This window comes from Homo sapiens, chromosome 3 (genome assembly GCF_000001405.40).
Source record: "Homo sapiens chromosome 3, GRCh38.p14 Primary Assembly".
Lineage (NCBI taxonomy): Eukaryota > Metazoa > Chordata > Mammalia > Primates > Hominidae > Homo > Homo sapiens.
In genome coordinates, this window is record NC_000003.12 from 44818998 (window position 1) to 44840475 (window position 21478).

General features: G+C 41.5%; 1 protein-coding gene across 16 annotated transcripts in view; it reads left to right on the top strand.

Annotated features, from left to right (window-relative positions):
• KIF15 (kinesin family member 15) overlaps nucleotides 1-21478 on the top strand; it is a 106894-nt gene that overhangs the window by 57204 nt on the left and 28212 nt on the right. For 15 of the 16 annotated variants that reach the window (XR_007095708.1, XR_007095709.1, XR_007095710.1 and 12 more), the window contains 8 exons: nucleotides 7042-7192; nucleotides 7378-7463; nucleotides 8462-8531; nucleotides 9217-9303; nucleotides 10974-11078; nucleotides 11899-12021; nucleotides 19278-19424; nucleotides 21358-21459. Coding sequence is in view for 11 of the 16 variants with exons in the window: in XM_017006884.3 (XP_016862373.1) it covers nucleotides 7042-7192; nucleotides 7378-7463; nucleotides 8462-8531; nucleotides 9217-9303; nucleotides 10974-11078; nucleotides 11899-12021; nucleotides 19278-19424; nucleotides 21358-21459 (871 nt within the window). In the remaining 5 variants the exon portion in view is untranslated. Of the gene's footprint in view, nucleotides 1-7041; nucleotides 7193-7377; nucleotides 7464-8461; nucleotides 8532-9216; nucleotides 9304-10951; nucleotides 11079-11898; nucleotides 12022-19277; nucleotides 19425-21357; nucleotides 21460-21478 lie in introns of those variants that run through there. The other variant, XR_001740215.2, reaches the window with a different exon arrangement.

A 21478-nucleotide genomic window follows, 5' to 3' on the forward strand; every position in this document is an offset into this window, starting at 1 on the left:
CCATTTCTTCTAGATTTTCTAGTTTATTTGCGTAGAGGTGTTTATAGTATTCTCTGATGGTAGTTTGTATTTCTGTGGGATAGGTGGTGATATCCCCTTTATCATTTTTTATTGCATCTATTTGATTCTTCTCTCTTTTCTTCTTTATTAGTCTTGCTAGCAGTCTTATCAATTTTGTTGATCTTTTCAAAAAACCAGCTCCTGGATTCATTAATTTTCTGAAGGGTTTTTTATGTCTCTATCTCCTTCAGTTCTGCTCTGATCTTAGTTATTTCCTGCCTTCTGCTAGCTTTTGAATTTGTTTGCTCTTGCTTCTCTAGTTCTTTTAATTGTGATGTTAGGGTGTCGATTTTAGATCTTTCCTGCTTTCTCCTGTGGGCATTTAGTGCTATGAATTTCCCTCTACACACTGCTTTGAATGTGTCCCAGAGATTCTGGTACATTGTATCTTTGTTCTCATTGATTTCAAAGAACATCTTTATTTCTGCCTTCATTTCGTTATTTACCCAGTAGTCATTCAGGAGCAAGTTGTTCAGTTTCCATGTAGTGGTGCAGTTTTGAGTGAGTCTCTTAATCCTGAGATCTAATTTATTGCACTGTGGTCTAAGAGACAGTTTGTTGTGATTTCTGTTTTTTTTACATTTGCTGAGGAGTGCTTTACTTTTAACTATGTGGTCAATTTTGGAATAAGTGCGATGTGGTGCTGAGAAGAATGTATATTCTGTTGATTTGGGGTGGAGAGTTCTGTAGATGTCTATTAGGTCCGCTTGGTCCAGAGCTGAGTTCAAGTCCTGGATACCCTTGTTAACCTTCTGTCTCATTCATCTGTCTAATATTGACAGTGGGGTGTTAAAGTCTCCCATTATTATTGTGTGGGAGTCTAAGTCTCTTTGTAGGTCACTCAGGACTTGCTTTATGAATCTGGGTGCTCCTGTATTGGGTGCATATATATTTAGGATAGTTAGCTCTTTTTGTTGAATTGATCCCTTTATCATTATGTAATGGCCTTCTTTGTCTCTTTTGATCTTTGTTGGTTTAAAGTCTGTTTTATCAGAGACTAGGATTGCAATCGCTGGTTTTTTTTGCTTTCCATTTGCTTGGTAGATCTTCCTCCATCCCTTTATTTTGAACCTATGTGTGTCTCTGCACGTAAGATGGGTCTCCTGAATACAGCACACCAATGGGTCTTGACTATCCAATTTGCCAGTTGGTGTCTTTTAATTGGGGCATTTAGCCCATTTACATTTAAGGTTAATATTGTTATGTGTGAATTTGATCCTGTCATTATGATGTTAGCTGGTTATTTTGCTCGTTAGTTGATGCAGTTTCTTTTTTTTTTCCTTTTTTTTTTTTAAACTTTTATTTATTTTTTATTGATCATTCTTGGGTGTTTCTCACAGAGGGGGATTTGGCAGGGTCACAGGACAATAGTGGAGGGAAGGTCAGCAGATAAACAAGTGAACAAAGGTCTCTGGTTTTCCTAGGCGGAGGACCCTGCGGCCTTCCGCAGTGTTTGTGTCCCTGGGTACTTGAGATTAGGGAGTGGTGATGACTCTTAACGAGCATGCTGCCTTCAAGCATCTGTTTAACAAAGCACATCTTGCACCGCCCTTAATCCATTTAACCCTGAGTGGACACAGCACATGTTTCAGAGAGCACAGGGTTGGGGGTAAGGTCACAGATCAACAAGATCCCAAGGCAGAAGAATTTTTCTTAGTACAGAACAAAATGAAAAGTCTCCCATGTCTACCTCCTACTACACAAACACGGCAACCATCCGATTTCTCACTCTTTTCCCCACCTCTCCCCACTTTCTACTCCACAAAACCGCCATTGTCATCATGGCCCGTTCTCAATGAGCTGCCGGGCACACCTCCCAGACGGGGTGGTGGCCGGGCAGAGGGGCTCCTCACCTCCCAGTAGGGGCGGCCGGGCAGAGGCGCCCCTCACCTCCCGGACGGGGTGGCTGGCCGGGCAGGGGGCTGACCCCCCCACCTCCCTCCCGGACGGGGCGGCTGGCCGGGCGGGGGGGCTGACCCCCCCACCTCCCTCCCGGATGGGGCGGCAGGCCGGGTGGCGGGCTGACCCCCCCCACCTCCCTCCCGGACCGGGCGGCTGGCCGGGCGGGGGGCTGACCCCCCCACCTCCCTCCCGGACGGGGCAGCTGGCCGGGCAGAGGGGCTCCTCACTTCCCAGTAGGGGCGGCTGGGCAGAGGCGCCCCTCACCTCCCGGACGGGGCGGCTGGCCGGGCGGAGGGCTGACCCCCCCACCTCCCTCCTGGACGGGGCGGCTGGCCTGGCGGTGGGTGACCCCCACCTCCTTCCTGGACGGGGTGGCTGCGGGGCGGTGACGCTCCTCACTTCTCAGACGGGGCGGCTTCCGGGCGGAGGGGCTCCTCACTTCTCAGACGGGGCGGTCGGGCAGAGACGCTCCTCTCCTCCCAGACGGGGTTGCGGCCGGGTAGAGGCACTCCTCACATCCCAGACGGGGCGGCGGGGCAGAGGCGCTCCCCACATCTCAGACGATGAGTGGCCGGGCAGAGACGCTCCTCACTTCCTAGATGGGATGGCGGCCGGGAAGAGGCGCTCCTCACTTCCTAGATGGGATGGCGGCTGGGAAGAGGCGCTCCTCACTTTCCAGACTGGGCAGCCAGGCAGAGGGGCTCCTCACGTCCCAGATGATGGGCGGCCAGGCAGAGACGCTCCTCACTTCCCAGACAGGGTGGCGGCTGGGCAGAGGCTGCAGTCTCGGCACTTTGGGAGGCCAAGGCAGGCGGCTGGGAGGTGGAGGTTGTAGCGAGCTGAGATCACGCCACTGCACTCCAGCCTGGGCAACATTGAGCATTGAGTGAACCAGACTCCGTCTGCAATCCCGGCACCTCGGGAGGCCGAGGCTGGCGGATCACTCGCGGTTAGGAGCTGGAGACCAGCCCGGCCAACACAGCGAAACCCCGTCTCCACCAAAAAAATACGAAAACCAGTCAGGCGTGGCGGTGCGTGCCTGCAATTGCAGGCACTCGGCAAGCTGAGGCAGGAGAATCAGGCAGGGAGGTTGCAGTGAGCTGAGATGTCAGCAGTACCGATGCAGTTTCTTCCTAGCGTCGATGGTCTTTACAATTTGGCATGTTTTTGCAGTGGCTGGTACTGGTTGTTCCTTTCCATTTTTAGTGCTTTCTTTAGGAGCTCTTGTAAGTCAGGCCTGATGGTGACAAAATCTCTCAGCATTTGCTTGTCTGTAAAGGATTTTATTTCTCCTTCACTTATGAATCTTAGTTTGGCTGGATATGAAATTCTGGGTTGAAAATTCTTTATTTAAGAATGTTGAATATTGCCCCCCACTCTCTTCTGGCTTGTAGAGTTTCTGCTGAGAGATCCGCTGTTAGTCTGATGGGCTTCCCTTTGTGGGTAACCCGACCTTTCACTCTGGCTGCCCTTAACATTTTTTCCTTCATTTCAACCTTGGTGAATCTGACAATTATGTGTCTTGGGGTTGCTCTTCTCGAGGAGTATATTTGTGGTATTCTCTGTTTTTCCTGAATTTGAATGTTGGCCTGCCTTGCTAGGTTGGGGAAGTTCTCCTGGATAATATCCTGAAGAGTGTTTTCCAACTTGGTTCCATTATCCCCATCACTTTCAGGTACACCAATCAAATGTAGATTTGGTCTTTTCACATAGTCCCATGTTTCTTGGAGGCTTTGTTCATTTCTTTTTACTCTTTTTTCTCTAAACTTCTCTTCTCGCTTTATTTCATTGATTTGATCTTCACTCAGTGATACCCTTTCTTCCACTTGATCGAATCGACTGTTGAAGCCTTGTGCAGGTGTCATGAAGTTCTCATGCTCTGGTTTTCAGCCCCATCAGTTCATTTAAGGTCTTCTCTACACTGTTTATTCTAGTTAGCCATTCGTCTAATCTTTTTTCAAGGTTTTTAGCTTCCTTGCATTGGGTTTGAACATGGTCCTTTAGCTTGTCGAAGTTTGTTATTACCGACCTTCTGAAGCCTACTTCTGTCAACTCGTCAAAGTTATTCTCGTCCAGCTTTGTTCTATTGCTGGTGAGGAGCTACAATCCTTTGGAGGAGAAGAGGCGCTCTGGTTTTTAGAATTTTCAGCTTTTCTCCTGTGGTTTCTCCCCATTTTTGTGGTTTTATCTACCTTTGGTCTTTGATATTGGTGACTGACAGATGGGGTTTTGGTATGGATGCCCTTTTTGTTGGTGTTGATGCTATTCCTTTCTGTTTGTTAGTTTTCCTTCTAACAGTCAGGTCCCTCAGCTGCAGCTCTGTTGGTGTTTGCTGGAGGCTCACTCCAGACCCTGTTTGCCTGGGTATCACCAGCGGAGGCTGCAGAACAGCAAATATTGCTGCCTGATCCTTCCTCTGGAAGCTTCGTCCCAGAGGGGCACCCACCTGTATGAGGTGTCAGTCGGCCCCTACTGGGAGGTTTATCCCAGTTAGGCTACACAGAGGTCAGGGACCCACTTGAGGAGGCAGTCTGTCCATTCTCAGTGCTCAAACACCGTGTTGGGAGAACCACTGTACTCTTCAGAGCTATCAGACAGGGATGTTTAAGTCTGCAGAGGTTTCTGCTGCCTTTTGCTCAGCTATGCTCTGCCCCCACAGGTGGAATCTATAGAGGCAGCCGGCCTTGCTGAGCTGTGGTGGGCTCCACCCAGTTCAAGCTTCCAGGCCGCTTTGTTTACCTACTCAAGCCTCAGCAATGGCGGATGGCCCTCCCCCTGCCAGGCTGCTGCCTCACAGGTCGATCTCAGACTGCTGTGCTAGCAGTGAGTGAGGCTCCGTGGGCGTGGGACCCACCGAGCTAGGTGCGGGATATAATCTTCTGGTATGCCATTTGATAAGACCATTGGAAAAGCTCAGTATTATGGCAGAAGTGTCCCATTTTTCCAGGTACAGTCTGTCATGGCTTCCCTTGGCTAGGAAAGGGAAATTCCCCGACCCCTTGCGCTTCCTGGGTGAGGCGACGCCCACCCTGCTTCAGCTTGCCCTCCGTGGTCTGCACCCACTGTCCAACCAGTCCCAGTGAGATGAACCAGGTACCTCAGTTGGAAATGTAAAAATCACCCATCTTCTGCATCGATCCCGCTGGGAGCTGCAGACTGCAGCTCTTCCTGTTTGGCCATCTTGCCTAATTCACATACATTTTTCTTAGGCCTGCCCAGTGGCTAAAGAAAAATAAATGAACATAGCATTTTAAAAATTGAGTGTTTTATTATAAAAATCTATATTTCAGCATTCTCTAGCAAAGTCATACTATTTGGTACCACTAGGCCCACATCCCTGCATGGCAGCCATCAGTTGCTGCAAAATTCACCCCTTTCTCTTTAGAGACAGAATGTGCTGTCTGGGTCAGCACAGCCTCCACCACCCTGTCCCATTTCCCCAGCACCAAGTCCACTTATCTAGTTGTCTGATTGGCCTGTAATCTACTTGAAGTGCAGTGGTATAACCCAACTCAAATTAGTTAAACAAAATAGGTAATTTATTGATAACTTATCACAGGTGCACTGTTGCCTTCTCTTACCCTTAGCATTTGTTTTAACTTCTGAATCACTGGATCTAATAATCTTGGCCTCAACTCAAACTATTTTGTGTAATTTGTTTTGAAGTCACTAATCTCATGGGATCTTAATTTCCTAATGTTTATATGTCAGAGTTGAACTACATCAAAAAATGTTAAGAATCCACTATATTTTGCTACATACTTAAATTCTATTTTCATCATTAAATACTTCCTAGGTTTGTTTGTTTGTTTGTTTTTGAGACAGTGTCTCACTTTGTCACCCAGGCTGGAGCACAGTGGCATAAACACGGCTTACTGCAGCCTCAATATCCCGGGCTCAAGCTGTCCTCCCACCTCAGCTCCCCACATAGCTGGGACTACAGGCACATGCCAGTGCACCCAGCTAATTTTTGTATTTTTTGTAGAGACAGAGTTTCGCCATGTTGTCCAGGCTGTTTTCAAACCCCTGAGCTCAAGCAGTCCACCCACCTCAGCTTCCCAAAGTGCTGGGATTAGAGGCATGAGCCACTGTGCCCAGCCTCTTCCTAGCTTTTTAAATACACTGAACACAATTTAACCTTCTCAGTGTCTCCAGTTTAAGTACATCATTTACTGGGCTGCTTATATTCCACTGTGGCCTTCAATGGTTGTTAAGTCCTGTGAATGAAACAGCATGACACTGCCATGTGTTTCTTGAATTATTTTGTCTACTTTATATATCTATATCTATATAGTTTATGCCATAAATACATAAATATGTTCCCCTTCCCTACCATCTATTGCCCATGTATCTGTCTTTAGCAATTGATTTATACCACTTTATGATTTGCTGCTTCTGCTCTGCTTTGAGTTAGTACAGCAGATATTCCATATATAATAACCTTCTGTACATAAGCTAGGACATCTGCTTTGGATGATCCAGAGGTCAGATTGATTGTGTGGTAGTTCTTGGCTGAGCTCTGGATTCTTGGAGGTGCTACAGCTTACTCAGGAGGGAAATAAGAGGATGAAAACCAAAAAAAGCAGTAATTATCTTCCAAAAACATTTTCTTTCTTGCTCAAATCAAATTCACATTGTCATCTTAATGTTCCTAGAGCTGAGAGGATGTATGAATAGTTGGAGTTGAGCTATCAATAAAACTTGGAAATTAACAGCCAGTGCCTGGCTTACGTGAGCATTAGGTCTGGAAACCCCTAAATGAGTCTAATCACTATAAATTGCTCATCCATTAAGCATGTCTGGTTGAAGCCATGGAGAAAGAATGAGGAAGTGATGCTTGCAAGCTAATGCTCCCACTTGTCTTTTCTGTTCCTACCAAACTACTCTATGGTCCAGTGTGTCTCACATGTTTGTGCATCATGGACATTTCACACAGGTCCATAAGGAGCCTTATATCACTCGAGGCTTATGTGAGTTGGGAATGGGCTGTAGATGAGATAAATTGAACTGCAGATGATCTGATTAATAGAAATACATTAAATGTTTATTTACCATTTTTAAAATGTTTTCCTTATAAAGGTTAGAAAACGAAAAGCTGCTTGAGAGCAAAGCCTGCCTACAGGATTCCTATGACAACTTACAAGAAATAATGAAATTTGAGATTGACCAACTTTCAAGAAACCTCCAAAACTTCAAAAAAGAAAATGAAACTCTGAAATCTGATCTGAATGTATGTTAAGAAGGGTGAATTTGTCCCGCATCTGTGACTGTCCTTTTGAGTGTAGGACAAGGACTGTCCTTTCCTCCTTCTTTGCTATACTTGCCCACAGTGCCTGCCACATAGAAGGTACTTGACATGTTCGTTGACTATGCATTGCTAGTAACAGTTACTTAAAATCTAATGTTGTCTTTTAGAATTTGATGGAGCTTCTTGAGGCAGAAAAAGAACGCAATAACAAATTATCATTACAGTTTGAAGAAGATAAAGAAAACAGTTCTAAGTGAGTGCTATTTATTTTTTCTACTAGCATACTAGAATATTGTTTAATACCACATTCTTAATCTTGTTTTTTTTTTATTGCCAATACCCTGTAAAGAGTTATTTTTTTAAAGCATTCCAAAAGCAACAGCAGGTTCTTTTGTATAAATGGCTATGTGGAGAAACTTAATTTTTCAAAACATGTAACAACTAGCTATAGTACTTTTAAATGAATAGCAATTGGTGGTAATCAGAACTCAGGGCCTTCTGTAAATAAATCACAGCAAATATATAATAAGATGACTTCTAACTCTTCCTTTTATTATTGGAAGGAGGAGACAGATTTTTATTTCTGTGTCTACAAATCTTTTTCTACCAGGAATGTCCCCTAACAGGAATGCTGCCATATTTCTTCCCTCTTTCCAGGTTCCTCTCCTTAGTAGTCTCAGTGAATCTTTGGGCCTCGGTCACTAGGCTGAGAGTCACTCTAATGAGAAGAATTTGTTTATTCAGTAGGTACTTATGGAGTTCTTCCTATGAGGTCGCTTTTCTTCTAGGCCCTGGTATACAGTGGTGAACGTAGAGCTTACATCCAGTTGAGAGACAAGCAATTGACATTTACTCATTTATTCAAACATTTATTGATATCCAACAAGCCAGGCACTGATCTGGTGAATTCCAGAACATTTAGAGTTGAAACAGTGAACAAAACATCCCTGTCCTCGTGGATTTTAACTTCTAGCACAGGGAGACAGGTAATAAACAAATACTATATGATATATGTTATATTTAGGAGTACTAAACACTCTGAGGAAAAACAGTCATGGCACAAAAATGGGTTCTCATTGAATAATTTTTGAAGAAATGGGTTCAAATTTCTGATCCCCCCGGAAGGTAATGCCTGACACCAAGGGTGTGCCTAACAAAGTTCATTTGCACTTAATCTATTCTGTACTAACAGATTCAGTTCCTGTTTTCATTGAGTGAAGTCAGGGGTAAAAGATAATTATTCTCTTCCAGAGAAATCTTAAAAGTTCTTGAGGCTGTACGTCAGGAGAAACAGAAAGAGACGGCCAAGTGTGAGCAGCAGGTAAAATTCCTGTTACTCTAACTCTAGTATTTGAAGTTTATAACTTTTATTCCTGATACCTAAAAGGCTTATTATAATGATTTCAGCTTGCAGATGTTGGAAATTAGTAAGAAAGAAATGGAATTTGGGGCTGGTTCTATTATTTTTAATTTTATTTTTTTCTTCTTTTTTTAAGATAGTTTCTCACTCTGTCACCCAGGCTGCAGTGCAGTGGCGCAGTGATGGCTCACTGTAGCCTTGACTTCCCAAGCTCAGGTGATTTTCCCACCTCAGCCTCTCGAGTAGCTGGGACTATGGGCATGCACCACTATGCCTGGCTAAATTTTTGTATTTTTTATAGAGATGGGGTTTCACCATGTTGCCCAGGATCGAACTCCTGAGCTCAAGTGATCCACCCACCTTGGCCTCCCAAAGTGCTGAGATTACAGGCCTGAGCCACCGTGCCTGGCCTATTGTTTTTCGACTCTTGTTTTTCTAACTCCCAGAGGGTTACAATAATAATTTGTTGGTAGTCTCCTGGTAGACAGCACAAAATCACTGTCTTTCAACCCAATTTATCATTTTCAAGTATTACTCCTAGCATAGACTCTATAATATGAAAAGCTGCTTTCAACTTGTTTATCTGTGTGTATGGTTAACTTTGCGATTTAATTATTCTTCTAAAAATATTTCTTTTTCACCATAGATGGCAAAAGTACAGAAACTAGAAGAGAGCTTGCTTGCTACTGAAAAAGTGATCAGTTCCCTGGAAAAGTCTAGAGATTCTGATAAGGTTGGTAGAGTTTGAAGCTACATCTCTCTGTGCATTTTCTTATAAATGCTAGTTTAACATTTTGTTCTCCTACCTCTTCTTGCACCTCCAGGGTGACCAATAGATAATATGAATATTTCTATATGCAGTTAAGCCTTGTTCATCCTCCAAGGTTCCTAGAGAATGAGGTCTTCCACTTAATTTGCCATGTAACTTCAAGTACAAACTACTGTCACTTTGGATGGCAGTGTTTCTAAAACGCATCCTACCCTTTTAACTAGGATGCTGATATTAGTGTGACCCTTTCTTGTTGACTCTAAGTCCCATGATACAAATTTTCAAATTCCTGGTGTTGACTTTAACTAAAATAATAAAAATAGTCTGTATGTCCAAGTTTAAATTACGTATAAAATTCTTCTATGTCTAGCTCATATACATTCATAAAACCAAAACAAATGATTAAATGAAATATTATAGACTGGGCACAGTGGCTCACGCCTGTAATTCCAGCACTTTGGGAGGCCAAGGCAGGTGGATCACCTGATGTGAGGAGTTCGAGACCAGCCTGACCAACATGGAGAAACCCCATCTCTACTAAAAGTACAAAATTAGCCAGGTGTGGTGGCACATGCCTGTAATCCTAGCTACTCGGGAGGCTGAGGCAGGAGAATTGCTTGAACCTGGGAGGTGGAGGTTGCAGTGAGCCAAGATCACACCATTGCACTCCAGTGTGGGCAACAAGAGCGAAACTCTGTCTCAAAAAAAAAAATTATAAAGCCATTAAAATATAAATTGATGCCAGGCGCAGTGGCTCATGTCTGTAATCCCAGCACTTTGGGAGGCTGAGGCGGGTGGATCACGAGGTCAGAAGATCGAGACCATCCTGGCTAACATGGTGAAACCCCATCTCTACTAAAAATACAAAAAATTAGCTGGGCATGGTGGCAGGTGCCTGTAGTCCCAGCTACTCGAGAGGCTGAGGCAGGAGAATGGCGTGAACCCGGGAGGCGGAGCTTGCAGTGAGCCGAGATCGCGCCACTGCACTCCAGCCTGGGCAACACAGCGAGACTCCATCTCAAAAAATATATATATATATGTGTGTGTGTGTGTGTGTGTGTGTATGTATATATATTACATATGTATATATAATATATATGTATATATTATATACGCATATATAATATATATGTATATAATATGTGTATATAATATATGCATATATAATATACGCATATATATTATATGTATATAATATGTATATATTATATATGTATATATTATATATGTATATATTATATATGTATATATTATATATTATATATGCATATATATTATATATGTATATACATTATATATGTATATATTATATATGTATATATTATGTATATATAATATATGTATATATATTATAGATGTATATATATTATAGATGTATATATATTATAGATGTATATATTATATATGTATATATTATAGATGTATATATATTATAGATGTATATATATAATATATGCATATATAATATATGTATATATATTATATATATAAATTGATACTAATGTGACATACGATCTTTTACTAAAATAAAATTGACTTATATTGCCATTAGGAAAGATAAGTGATTTACCATTTAAAAATTTTCTTCTCCTTAATGTCATTGGGTATGAAGATATTATTTCTGTCCTCATCAGAAAGTTGTAGCTGACCTCATGAACCAGATCCAGGAGCTAAGAACATCGGTCTGTGAGAAAACAGAAACTATAGACACCCTGAAACAAGAACTGAAGGACATAAATGTAAGTTCGGTCACCAACAAGATGTTAAATTTGAGCATGGGACACTTCACAGACTTTTCAAGAGTTTAACAGATGCTCCACCAGAAAAAAGATTCTGTGGTCAAATAAGTTTGGAAATTCTAGTTAAATAAAGCTCAACAGGTTTGTGTGTTTGTAGGACTTGCAGAGTCATTATGGAAGTGTGTAGTATGTATCTCTGGGGGACAATGTAGGCTGCAGTGTTTCTCAGGTTTCACTGATCTGGGACAATGTTCTCTGTGCACTGTTTGGGAATGCCGGTATAAACTGAATAAGAAACAGGCTGGTTGCTGGCCGTAACAGTTAAGGCAAATGTGGTGTTTTTTAGTGGCTTTGAGGAAAAAGTAACACAGTAGCACATTGCAGTTAAGTTCAGAGACATTAATTAGAAAGTGAGTTCGTTTCCGCAATATTGGACATAATATCATTTCCTAAAGTTAACTACTTATTTTGTCAGCATGTATCTGAGTTCAGTGTTGATGCTTTTCTCCTCTGGGTCGAGGCGAAGGCTTTTGTCACTCCTCCTCACTCCTCTGCTCTACAGGGAGCTTGCTGCACTCCATGTTTATTTCTGAAGGCAGTAGATGACAAACCCTGTGTTTTTTTCACTGATACTTAGAGGACTTTTCCATTTCTCTTCACCATTCATGCACTTATTCTTCTATTCCTTCAGTCAGCAAGTATTTATTGAATTATCTTGTGTTAATCTTGTCATCACCTTGGAACCCAGACTCATTCTTGTTATTTTAATCTAGAAACAGGAAATAAAATGGCTCTTATAGCATGACTTTCTTTTCTACAGTGCAAATACAACTCTGCTTTGGTTGACAGAGAAGAGAGCAGAGTGTTGATCAAGAAGCAGGAAGTGGATATTCTGGATCTGAAAGAAACCCTTAGGCTGAGAATACTTTCTGAGGACATAGAGGTAGGTATTAACGCATCACAGCTTCTTTGTTTGCCTTATTACTTGTCAATATGTGTATTTGTGTGTGGAAGTTATTAATGAATAAATACAGGATTTTTAAAGAAATAATTCTTATACAGCTGATGTGCCTCAAGACGCTTCACTACACAGGCTCATTCTACCTCTACCTCACTGCCTGCACCTCATGCTGCCACCCTGACTGCTTGCTGTGCCTGAGATACTCCACACACGTTCACGCTGCCAAGCTTCCTCCTCTGGCAGTCTTATACATATACTGTCTCCTTTGAGGAGATAGTATTTGTATACTACTAATGTATTATTGTATAGTGTATAATAATACAAATAGTCATGTATAATAATTTCACCAAAATTATTATATTTTATCTAGCTAATCTATTTTCCGTCATTTTTGCTGACACCACGTTAACTTCCTATAACTGACCCCTGTAAGGGGAGCAGAGTGGAAACTGCATTTAATTGGATGCAGTGATAGTAGCAGATAGCAGAAAAGGGCTGTTTAAACAGGCTGATTTCAGGGTTGTCTTTTGCATTTTAGCGAAGATAAGTTTTATTTTTGTTTTTTTGATGTAGATTTATCTTTTTAAAAATTAAGCAGTACAGGTTAATTTGTAACCTACAGCTAAAGGAAGTTTTTTTGTTGTTGATGATGTGAACTTATCTTTTTAAAAATTAGTATATAAGCTAGGAGCAATATGGATTTTCTTCCAGCCCTTCCTATTCCTCAGCTACCCCCATGTTTTCAGTTTCTTGTGTAACTTTCAAGAGATATTTTAAGCAATCCTATATACTTTTAGCCTTACTTTTTTCCCCACACAGATGATAACCTATTGTATAAATTGTTCTATATTTGCTTTAGAAATAAAGGGGTTTTGGCTAACCTATGCTACCCATGAAACAAATTCAACAAATATTGAATCCACCTACTATACAACCTGTACCCGGCCTGGCATTTGGGAATGGAAAGATGATTGAAAAACACTGTTACTTACATCAAAGCATGCATTCTAGCTTAAGAGATATGTGTAATATGATGTAATAACCTGGGGGCACAGAAAAGGGAGGGAGGGGAGTAATTCTGCCAGGGGAAATTCTAAAGACCTCCTCAGAAGAGAGAGTATTTGTACACAACTTTGCCAGAGAGGGAAGCTTGGCAGTGTGAACATGTGTGGAGTGTCCCAAGCACAGCAGGCAGTCAGGGTGGCCAATACAAGGTGCTGGCAGTGAAGTGGGGGCAGACTGAGCCTGTGTAGTGAAGTGTCTTGAGGAACGTCAGCTGTATCTTTTAGGAAACCAAAACTGCATAGACATTGAACCCAGGCAGAAGGTCATGAAGTCAGAGCTAAGAAATGCTAGTGGGGATAGGGGGTGAGATAGAGTTGGGAAATGTTTCAGAGCTACAGGTGACAGTTGTTGGTGTCCAGTTGGATATGTACCATGAAGGGAAGAAGCAGTCAGAGTGGGCACCAAGCTTTCTAGCCTGGAGGACTGAATGGTTCTGTGCACATTTCAGATGGAAAGAATAGAGGCCCACAGAAAGTTAATGAGATGCATTTTATACATACCAGTTTTGAATTTTAAGGACCTGTGGGGTAGATATCCAAGATGGCTATTCCCAGTAATTTGTATTTATATCTTGCTACATCGCAGAAAGGATTTGAAGCTGCTAACACACATAAGATATAAGATTAAAATAGGCTGGACGTGGTAGCTCACACCTGTAATCCCAGCATTTTGGGAGGCCGAGGCGGGTGGATCACTTGAGGTCAGGAGTTCCAGACCAGCCTGGCCAACATGGTAAAACCCCATCCCTACTAAAACTACAAAAATTAGCAAGGTGTGGTGGTGCGTGCCTGTAATCCCAGCTATTCAGGAGGCCAAGGCAGGAAAATGGTTGCAGGAGGCAGAGGTTGCAGCAAGCTGAGATCATGCCACTGCACTCTAGCCTGGGTGACAGATCGAGACTCCATCTCAAAAAAAAAAAAAAAAAAAGAAGATTAAAGTAGACAACAAAAATTAGAATAAAAGGAAAGTAAGGGTAGAATAGTAACAAGTTATTAAGAGCACAGGCTACGGAGTTGGAATTCTAGCTGTGTGACCTTGGGGAAGTTAAATTTCTCCCTGTGCTTCATTTGCCATATCTGTAGAGATAACAGTACTTCCTACTGCATAAGGCAGTGGTCCTCAGCCTTTTTGGCACCAGGGACCAGTTTAGTGGAAGACAATTTTTCCTTAGACCAGGAGTGTGAGGGGGGCTGGTTTCTGGATGATTCAAGCACATTACATTTACTGTGTACTTTATTTCTATTATTATATTTACATTGTAATATATAATAAAATAGTTGTACAACTCACCGTAATGTAGAATCAGTGGGAGCCCTGAGCTTGTTTTCCTGCAACTAGATGGTCCTATCCAGGGGTGATGGGAAATAGTGACAAATCATCAGGCATTAGATTCTCATAAGGAGTGCCCAAACGAGATCCCTGGCACGCAGTTTGCAATAGAGTTAATGCTTCTGTGAGAATCTAATGCTGCCACTGATTTGACAGGAGGCGGAGCTCAGGCAGTAATGCGAGCGATGGGGAATGGCTGTAAATACAGATGAAGCTGTGCTCGCTTTCCTCCTGCTGTGCAGCCCAGTTCCTAACAAGCCACAGACTGATAGCAGTCTGTGGCCTAGGGGCTGGGGGCCGCTGGCATAAGGTGTTGCAGAGATGAACTGAGGTAATACATGGAAAGTGCTGAGAACTGTGTCTGGCTCCTTGTAACTGCTCAATATGTGTCAGATGGAAATAGTTTTAGCAAGCCAATTGAAAAGTTAGTACACAGAAGCCACAACCTAGGGTCCCCTACAAAGTATAAGATGATGGGCTAAAAATTCAGTTTCATACTGACTATTGACGAAGTTAAAAGGAAATCTAGCTATTTGAGTGGGAGTAGGTAAATAATGAAAACTCATGCCTGTTTACCTAAAAGCTCTTCTTTCCTTCCTTCCTTGCTTTCTCTCTTTTTTCTTCTTAAAAATAAAATGTGACTACGAATATTGTATTTAGATTTAAATATCGTATTTTAGATTCATACATTTTAGATTCAAGTGGAATTGACCCTATAAACAGCTAATTCATATTCCCTTTGTACTTATCTTCAGTCTTTATTAGCTAAAATTTAGTTTTATGGCTATGGTTTGTGAATTGTTCAGTATATTCAAATTGTTCATATATCAGTGTTTTTCAACAATATGAGTACTTAGCCAATGCAGTAAAATGGAAATACTAAGTGGGATACAAATATCATAAAAACTGAGAGAAAGTGACTGTTATTTGCAGATGGTCATGAGTGTCTACATGGAGACTCCAAAATACTGTCTGAATATCTATTAGAATATTGAGTTTAGTAATCAGTTATAAATTAGTCTTAAAAATAATATTTACTATGTGCCATTAATAACCATTTAACAATATTGGAACTAAAAAATTCTATTCACAAAAACAACCAAAAGTGTTAAAACGTTAGGAGAGAATTTGTAACAACTGTTAAGGACATAAAACTTCCCTAAGGGATATTGAAAGAAATTGAATATTAAAGAAAGAATAGCTTTACTGGGGCTGGGCACTGTGGCTCACGCCTGTAATCTCAGCACTTTTTGGGAGGCTGAGGTAGGTGGATCACAAGGTCAGGAGATCGAGACCATCCTGGTTAACACGGTGAAACCCCGTCTCTACTAAAAATACAAAAAAAAAAAAAAATTACCTGGGCGTGGTGGCACGTGCCTATAGTCCCAGCTACTTGGGAAGCTGAGGTAGGAGAATCGCTGGAACCTAGGAGGCAGAGGTTGCAGTGAGCCAAGATCGCGCCACTGCACTCCAGCTAGGGCGACAGAGCGATACTCCATCTCAAAAAATAATAATAAAGAATAGCTTTATTATAGATTATTATATAATATTATGTTATAATTAAAATAATATATAATATTAAATAAACAGTTTAAAAACATAACAGGAGCTTTTAAAAATTCTCTTTCACAGAAATAATATAGCGTATCAAAATCTTAGGGTGAATATTTGACAATTGTTAAGAACATAAAACTTTACAAGCAACATGAAAAGAGACTTCAATAAAAGGATCTAAAGGGAGACTTGGACAGGAAGACCCTGTCGTTTTAGAAACAGAAATTTATGTAATTCCACTTCAAATCCCAATGTATTTATTTTTATTTTTTTGAGACAGGGTCTTGTTTTGTTACCCAGGCTGGAATGTAGTAATGCGATCATGGCTCACTGCAGCCTTGAACTCCTGGGCTTAAGTGATCCTGCCACCTCAGCCTCCCAAGTAGCTGGGACTACAGATGTGCAGCACCACGCCTGGCTAATTTTTGGTATTTTTTTGTAGAGATGAGGTTTCACTATGATGCCCACGCTGGTCTCGAACTCCTAAACCCAAGTGATCCTCCCCTGCCTCAGCCTCCCAAATTGCTAGGATTACAGGTGTGAGCCACCATGCCTGGCCTCAAATCCCAGTATAAAAAACTGATGATTTTAAGGTTCCTTTGAAAAAAATACCCAAGATTTACCAACAAAACTTAGAAAAACAATAATGCAGAGAGATTTCTAAGCTAAATGGTAACCATATCCAGTGTTGGACTGATGATAGAGAGATCATTGCAACAACTTTGAACATCCACAAATAGAGAGCAGTGAATATGAAGGAATTTAGTGTAATGGTAAAGGAAGTATTTCTCAACAGTGAAGAAAGAGTCGGTTTAATCAATGTATATGTTGGGAAAATTGTCTGACCAATTTGAAAAGATATCAAAGCCAAAACAATTTTTACATGGATTAGAGTTCTGTACAAATGATGACATCATAGAAGTACTAGAAAATAAAAATACAAGCCAGGCATGGTAATGCACGCCTGTAGTCCCAGCTACTCAGGAGGCTGACATGGGACAATTGCTTGAGTCCAGTAGTTCAAGTCCAGCCTGGGTAATGTTGTTGCAAGAGCCCCCATCTCTGAAAAAACAAAAGGAGGGATGGGCACGGTGACTCACACCTGTAATCCCAGCACTTTGGGAGGCCAAGGCAGGTGGATCACTTGAGGCCAGGAGCTCAAGACCAGCCTGCCCAACATGACGAAACCCCATCTCTACTAAAAATACAAAAATTAGAAAAATTAGCCAGGTGTGGTGGTGTACACCTGTAATCCCAACTACTCAGGAGGCTGAGGCATGAGAATCGCTTGAACCTGGGAGGTGGAGGTTACAGTTAGATGAGATCACGCCACTGCACTCTATCTGGGCGACAGAGCAAGACTCTGTCTAAAAAAATAAATAAATAAATAATTTTTTTTTAAGGAGAAGAAAAAATACAAATACATAAAAATATCTTGAGTTTATGTGACTCTGAAAATATCTTGATATAAAGATTAGAACTCATAAGGGAAGATTATACAATATTAAAAACAAAAATTCTAACAACAGATGGGGAAAATATTTGCAACTGATGACAAAGTATTTTACCACCTTAATTTATCCTTCAGGAGAAGGATAGAAACACAGCTGGTGGAAAATGGACATAGGTAGCTCCCCAAAGAAGGAATATAGTGGCACAAAACTTCTTTGGAATCAGAGACATGCAAATGTTCCTGAAACATTAGGAGTTCAGCCTAGGTCTGGTTGCTTACCACACAGAAAGCCAATCACTGAGTCAAGGAGTATTGCCAGCGAAGAAGACTTTAAATGAGTGCCATAGCCAAGATAGGAGATCAGTCTCAAATCCTTCTCCCTGACTGACTAAAATTGGGAGTTTATATAGCAAGAAAGGTAACCATGTGTGGAAAAGCAGGAACTAGGGAGGGGTAAGGAAAAGGAGTTGGTTAACAGGAAACAGGTTGTCAGTTAGGCAGCCATGACAGGTGAGGGGCCTGGCATCTCATTTGTCCAGTTGCCATGATCTGGTAAGTTTCAGTTCCTTGATCTTGTCTGGGATGCCTGTTGGTTGGTTCCCTGAGAAAGGAACTCAGATAAGACAAATGTAACTTTCTTACGTTTTAAGACTGGGAGGGCCAATTTCTATGTTTATTCAAAAGAAACCATAAACATCAGTTCTAGGGGACAGTTGGGCCAGTTTCACAAATTAAAATAACAGCTATTTTCTAATCTTATAACTGGTAAAGTTTAAGACCCAAGGAAGATGTGCAGACAAGGATGATTACTCAAACTTCTGGAGGAGTTTATGTTCAGCCTTTGGGGAGGTAGTCTGGTAATACATAGCCTTATATTTTTTACATATCCTTTGAGTTTGCACTTTTAAAAATTCAGCCTAAAGAAATAATCTAGATACAAGAATGAAGTGCATAGAATAGTGAAAAATTCAAATCAACCAAAATATTTAGTGATAGATTAAATTGTGGTACATCCATAAGGTGAAATGGAGTCCACACAGTGAAAAGAGTGAGTACATGCAGAAATGTTTGTGATGTGTCAAGTTTTTTTAAAAGTGTGTGTTTATATGTGTGTATATATATCTGTGTATATCCATGTATATGTACATGTCTATGTACACACATATATATGTGTGTGTATATATATATATACATGCACACACATACCTACATACATATATATACATTTGGAAAGGAAAAGAAGGATAAGCAGTATCTGCTCTAATTTGGGAGGAATTACATATACTGTGTACATAGAAATTATGTATGCAACCTATAGGACTTCTAATTTTCTGTGCCAGTTTCCACAAAGCTACTTCCTGAAACTTTGATGGTCTATGACAATGAATCACAATCTGGTGCAAACTGCCCAGGCCCTCCTCAACTGGCTGATGGAGGCTCATCTTCACAGCTGTTTACTTTCCAGTATATAAAGGACTAGAGTCAATTGGTGAGACAACAACAAGTAACCAAGAGACCTTTGAGTCCTCCCCAGGAGAGGGAGATTGGCTTGAGATCCTGGGGGTGAGGAGAGAATGCAATTAGACCTCAAACCTAGAGTACAGTTAAACCTCAATTGGGATACCTATATATGTTTACTGTAATAATGTTAATCTCTAGACCTGTTCATCTAAATATTAACTGATTACTTTGTCTTAGAATGGATTAGCACACAAGCAAAAGAAATAGGTTTTTACATAAAACTTCCTTAGTCTGTTAAAAGTTGTACATAGTAATGATTTGGGAATCCTTATTGGAATACCATAATTAAGAAACTGTGATGATTGTCTCCTAACAGAGGGATATGCTCTGTGAGGACCTGGCTCATGCCACTGAGCAGCTGAACATGCTCACAGAGGCCTCAAAAAAACACTCGGGGCTGCTGCAGTCTGCCCAGGAAGAACTGACCAAGAAGGAAGCCCTGATTCAGGAACTTCAGCACAAGGTGAGAAACACACAGGTGTCACTCAAGATGGGAGACAAGAGACCAAGTGTAGTGGCTCACTCCTGTAATCCCAGCACTTTGAGAGGCCAAGGGGGTGGACCACTTGAAGTCAGGAGTTCAAGAGCAGTCTGGCCAACATGGTGAACTGAAACCCTGTCTCTACTAAAAATAGAAAAGTTAGCCGGGCGTGGTGGCGCTCACCTGTAATCCCAGCTACTTGGGAGGCTGAGGCACAAGAATTGCTTGAACCTGGGAGGTGGAGGTTGCAATGAGCCAAGATTGCACCACTGCACTCCAGCCTGGGTGACAGAGTGAGACCCTGTCTCAAAAAAAAAAAAAAAAAAAATGGGGGACAGGAGGAATCCACAGTTGAGGTTGTCATGACATTCCTGCATTGGCCAACTTCTCCATGTACAAAGGGGAGGCTAATGGAGTATCCTTACCTGGACTGAGACTTGCTCAGCTGCCTCCCACCCACCTTAGGTCCTTGACACATGGCAACCAGTTCTAACCACTCCAGTGAGGTTATGCCTGACTTTTATCATATTTTTGGTGGTTGTTGTTGTCATTTTATATTTTGTATTTTTCTCAGATGACTGTTTTGTTACTTGTGAAACTTGGAACATTTTTATAAGTATAAATAAATTTGTGAGAGAAAAGGAGATGGGTCCAGGTGCGGTGGCTCACACCTGTAATCCCAGCACTTTGGGAGGCCAAGGTGGGTGGATCACGAGGTCAGGAGATCAAGACCATCCTGGCTTACACGGTGAACCCCCGTCTCTACTGAAAGCACAAAAAAAATTAGCCGGGCGTGGTGGCCGGCTCCGGTAGTCCCAGCTACTCGGGAAGGCTGAGGCAGGAGAATGGTGTGAACCCGGGAGGCGGAGCTTGCAGTGAGCCGAGATCGCGCCACTGCACTCCAGCCTGGGCGACAGAGAGAGACTCCATCTCAAAAAAAAAAGAAAAGAAAAGGAGATGATGATTGGGTTATAGTAGCAACCAAGTTAGATTTCACAATTACTTTTAAAAATATCATAGGTTTATTTTAATATCTTACTGCTTTTCAAATTATTAATCAAGTTCTGAAAAAATAATGTAAATACAGCATATTTCCATATGCCATGGGAAGAAACCGCAATTACTTTTGCATCAACCTAATAACTGTAATCACCATGCCCTGCAGTAGATCTCCAAAAGGTATTCCTCCTGTCCAACTGAAACTATACCCTTTGACCAACATCTCCCATTGCTGATTCATGTCTCCTTCCACCCCTCACTTCCCCCAGACTCTGGTACTCTCCATTTCTATGAGTTCAACTTTTTTTGATTCCACATATAAGTGAGATTGTGTGGTATTTGTCTTTCTGTGCTGGCTTATTTTACTTGGAACAGTGTCCTCCAGGTTCATCCATGTTGTCACAAATGACAGAATTTGCTTCCTTTTTAAGACTAAGTAGTATTTCATTGTGTATATATATAGCACATTTTCTTTACCCATTCTCCCATCAATAGACAGTTAAGTTGACTCCATAGCTTGGCTATTACGAATAATGCTTCAGAGAACATGGGAGTGCCGCTGTCTCTTCAATAGACTGATTTTAATTCCTTTGGATATATATCCAGAGGTGGGACTGCTGGATCATACAGTAGTTCTGTTTTTAGTTTGTTGAGGAACTTCCATACTATTTTTCACAATGGCTGTGCTAATTTACATTCCCAACAGTATACAAGGATCCCTTTTCTCCACAACCTCACCAACACTTAACTTTCATCTTTTTGATGATAGCCATCCCTATCAGGTGCGAAGTGATATCTCATTGTGGTTTTCATTTGCATTTCCCTGATGATTGGTGATGGGAAGTTTGTCTTTTCTATTTGGACCATGTACCCCATATTACTAAGTTGTAACCTTGTATCTGTTCAATTTTCCCAGCTAAACCAAAAGAAAGAGGAAGTAGAACAGAAGAAGAATGAATATAACTTCAAAATGAGGCAACTAGAACATGTGATGGATTCTGCTGCTGAGGATCCCCAGGTACTTTTCAGAAAAAGAT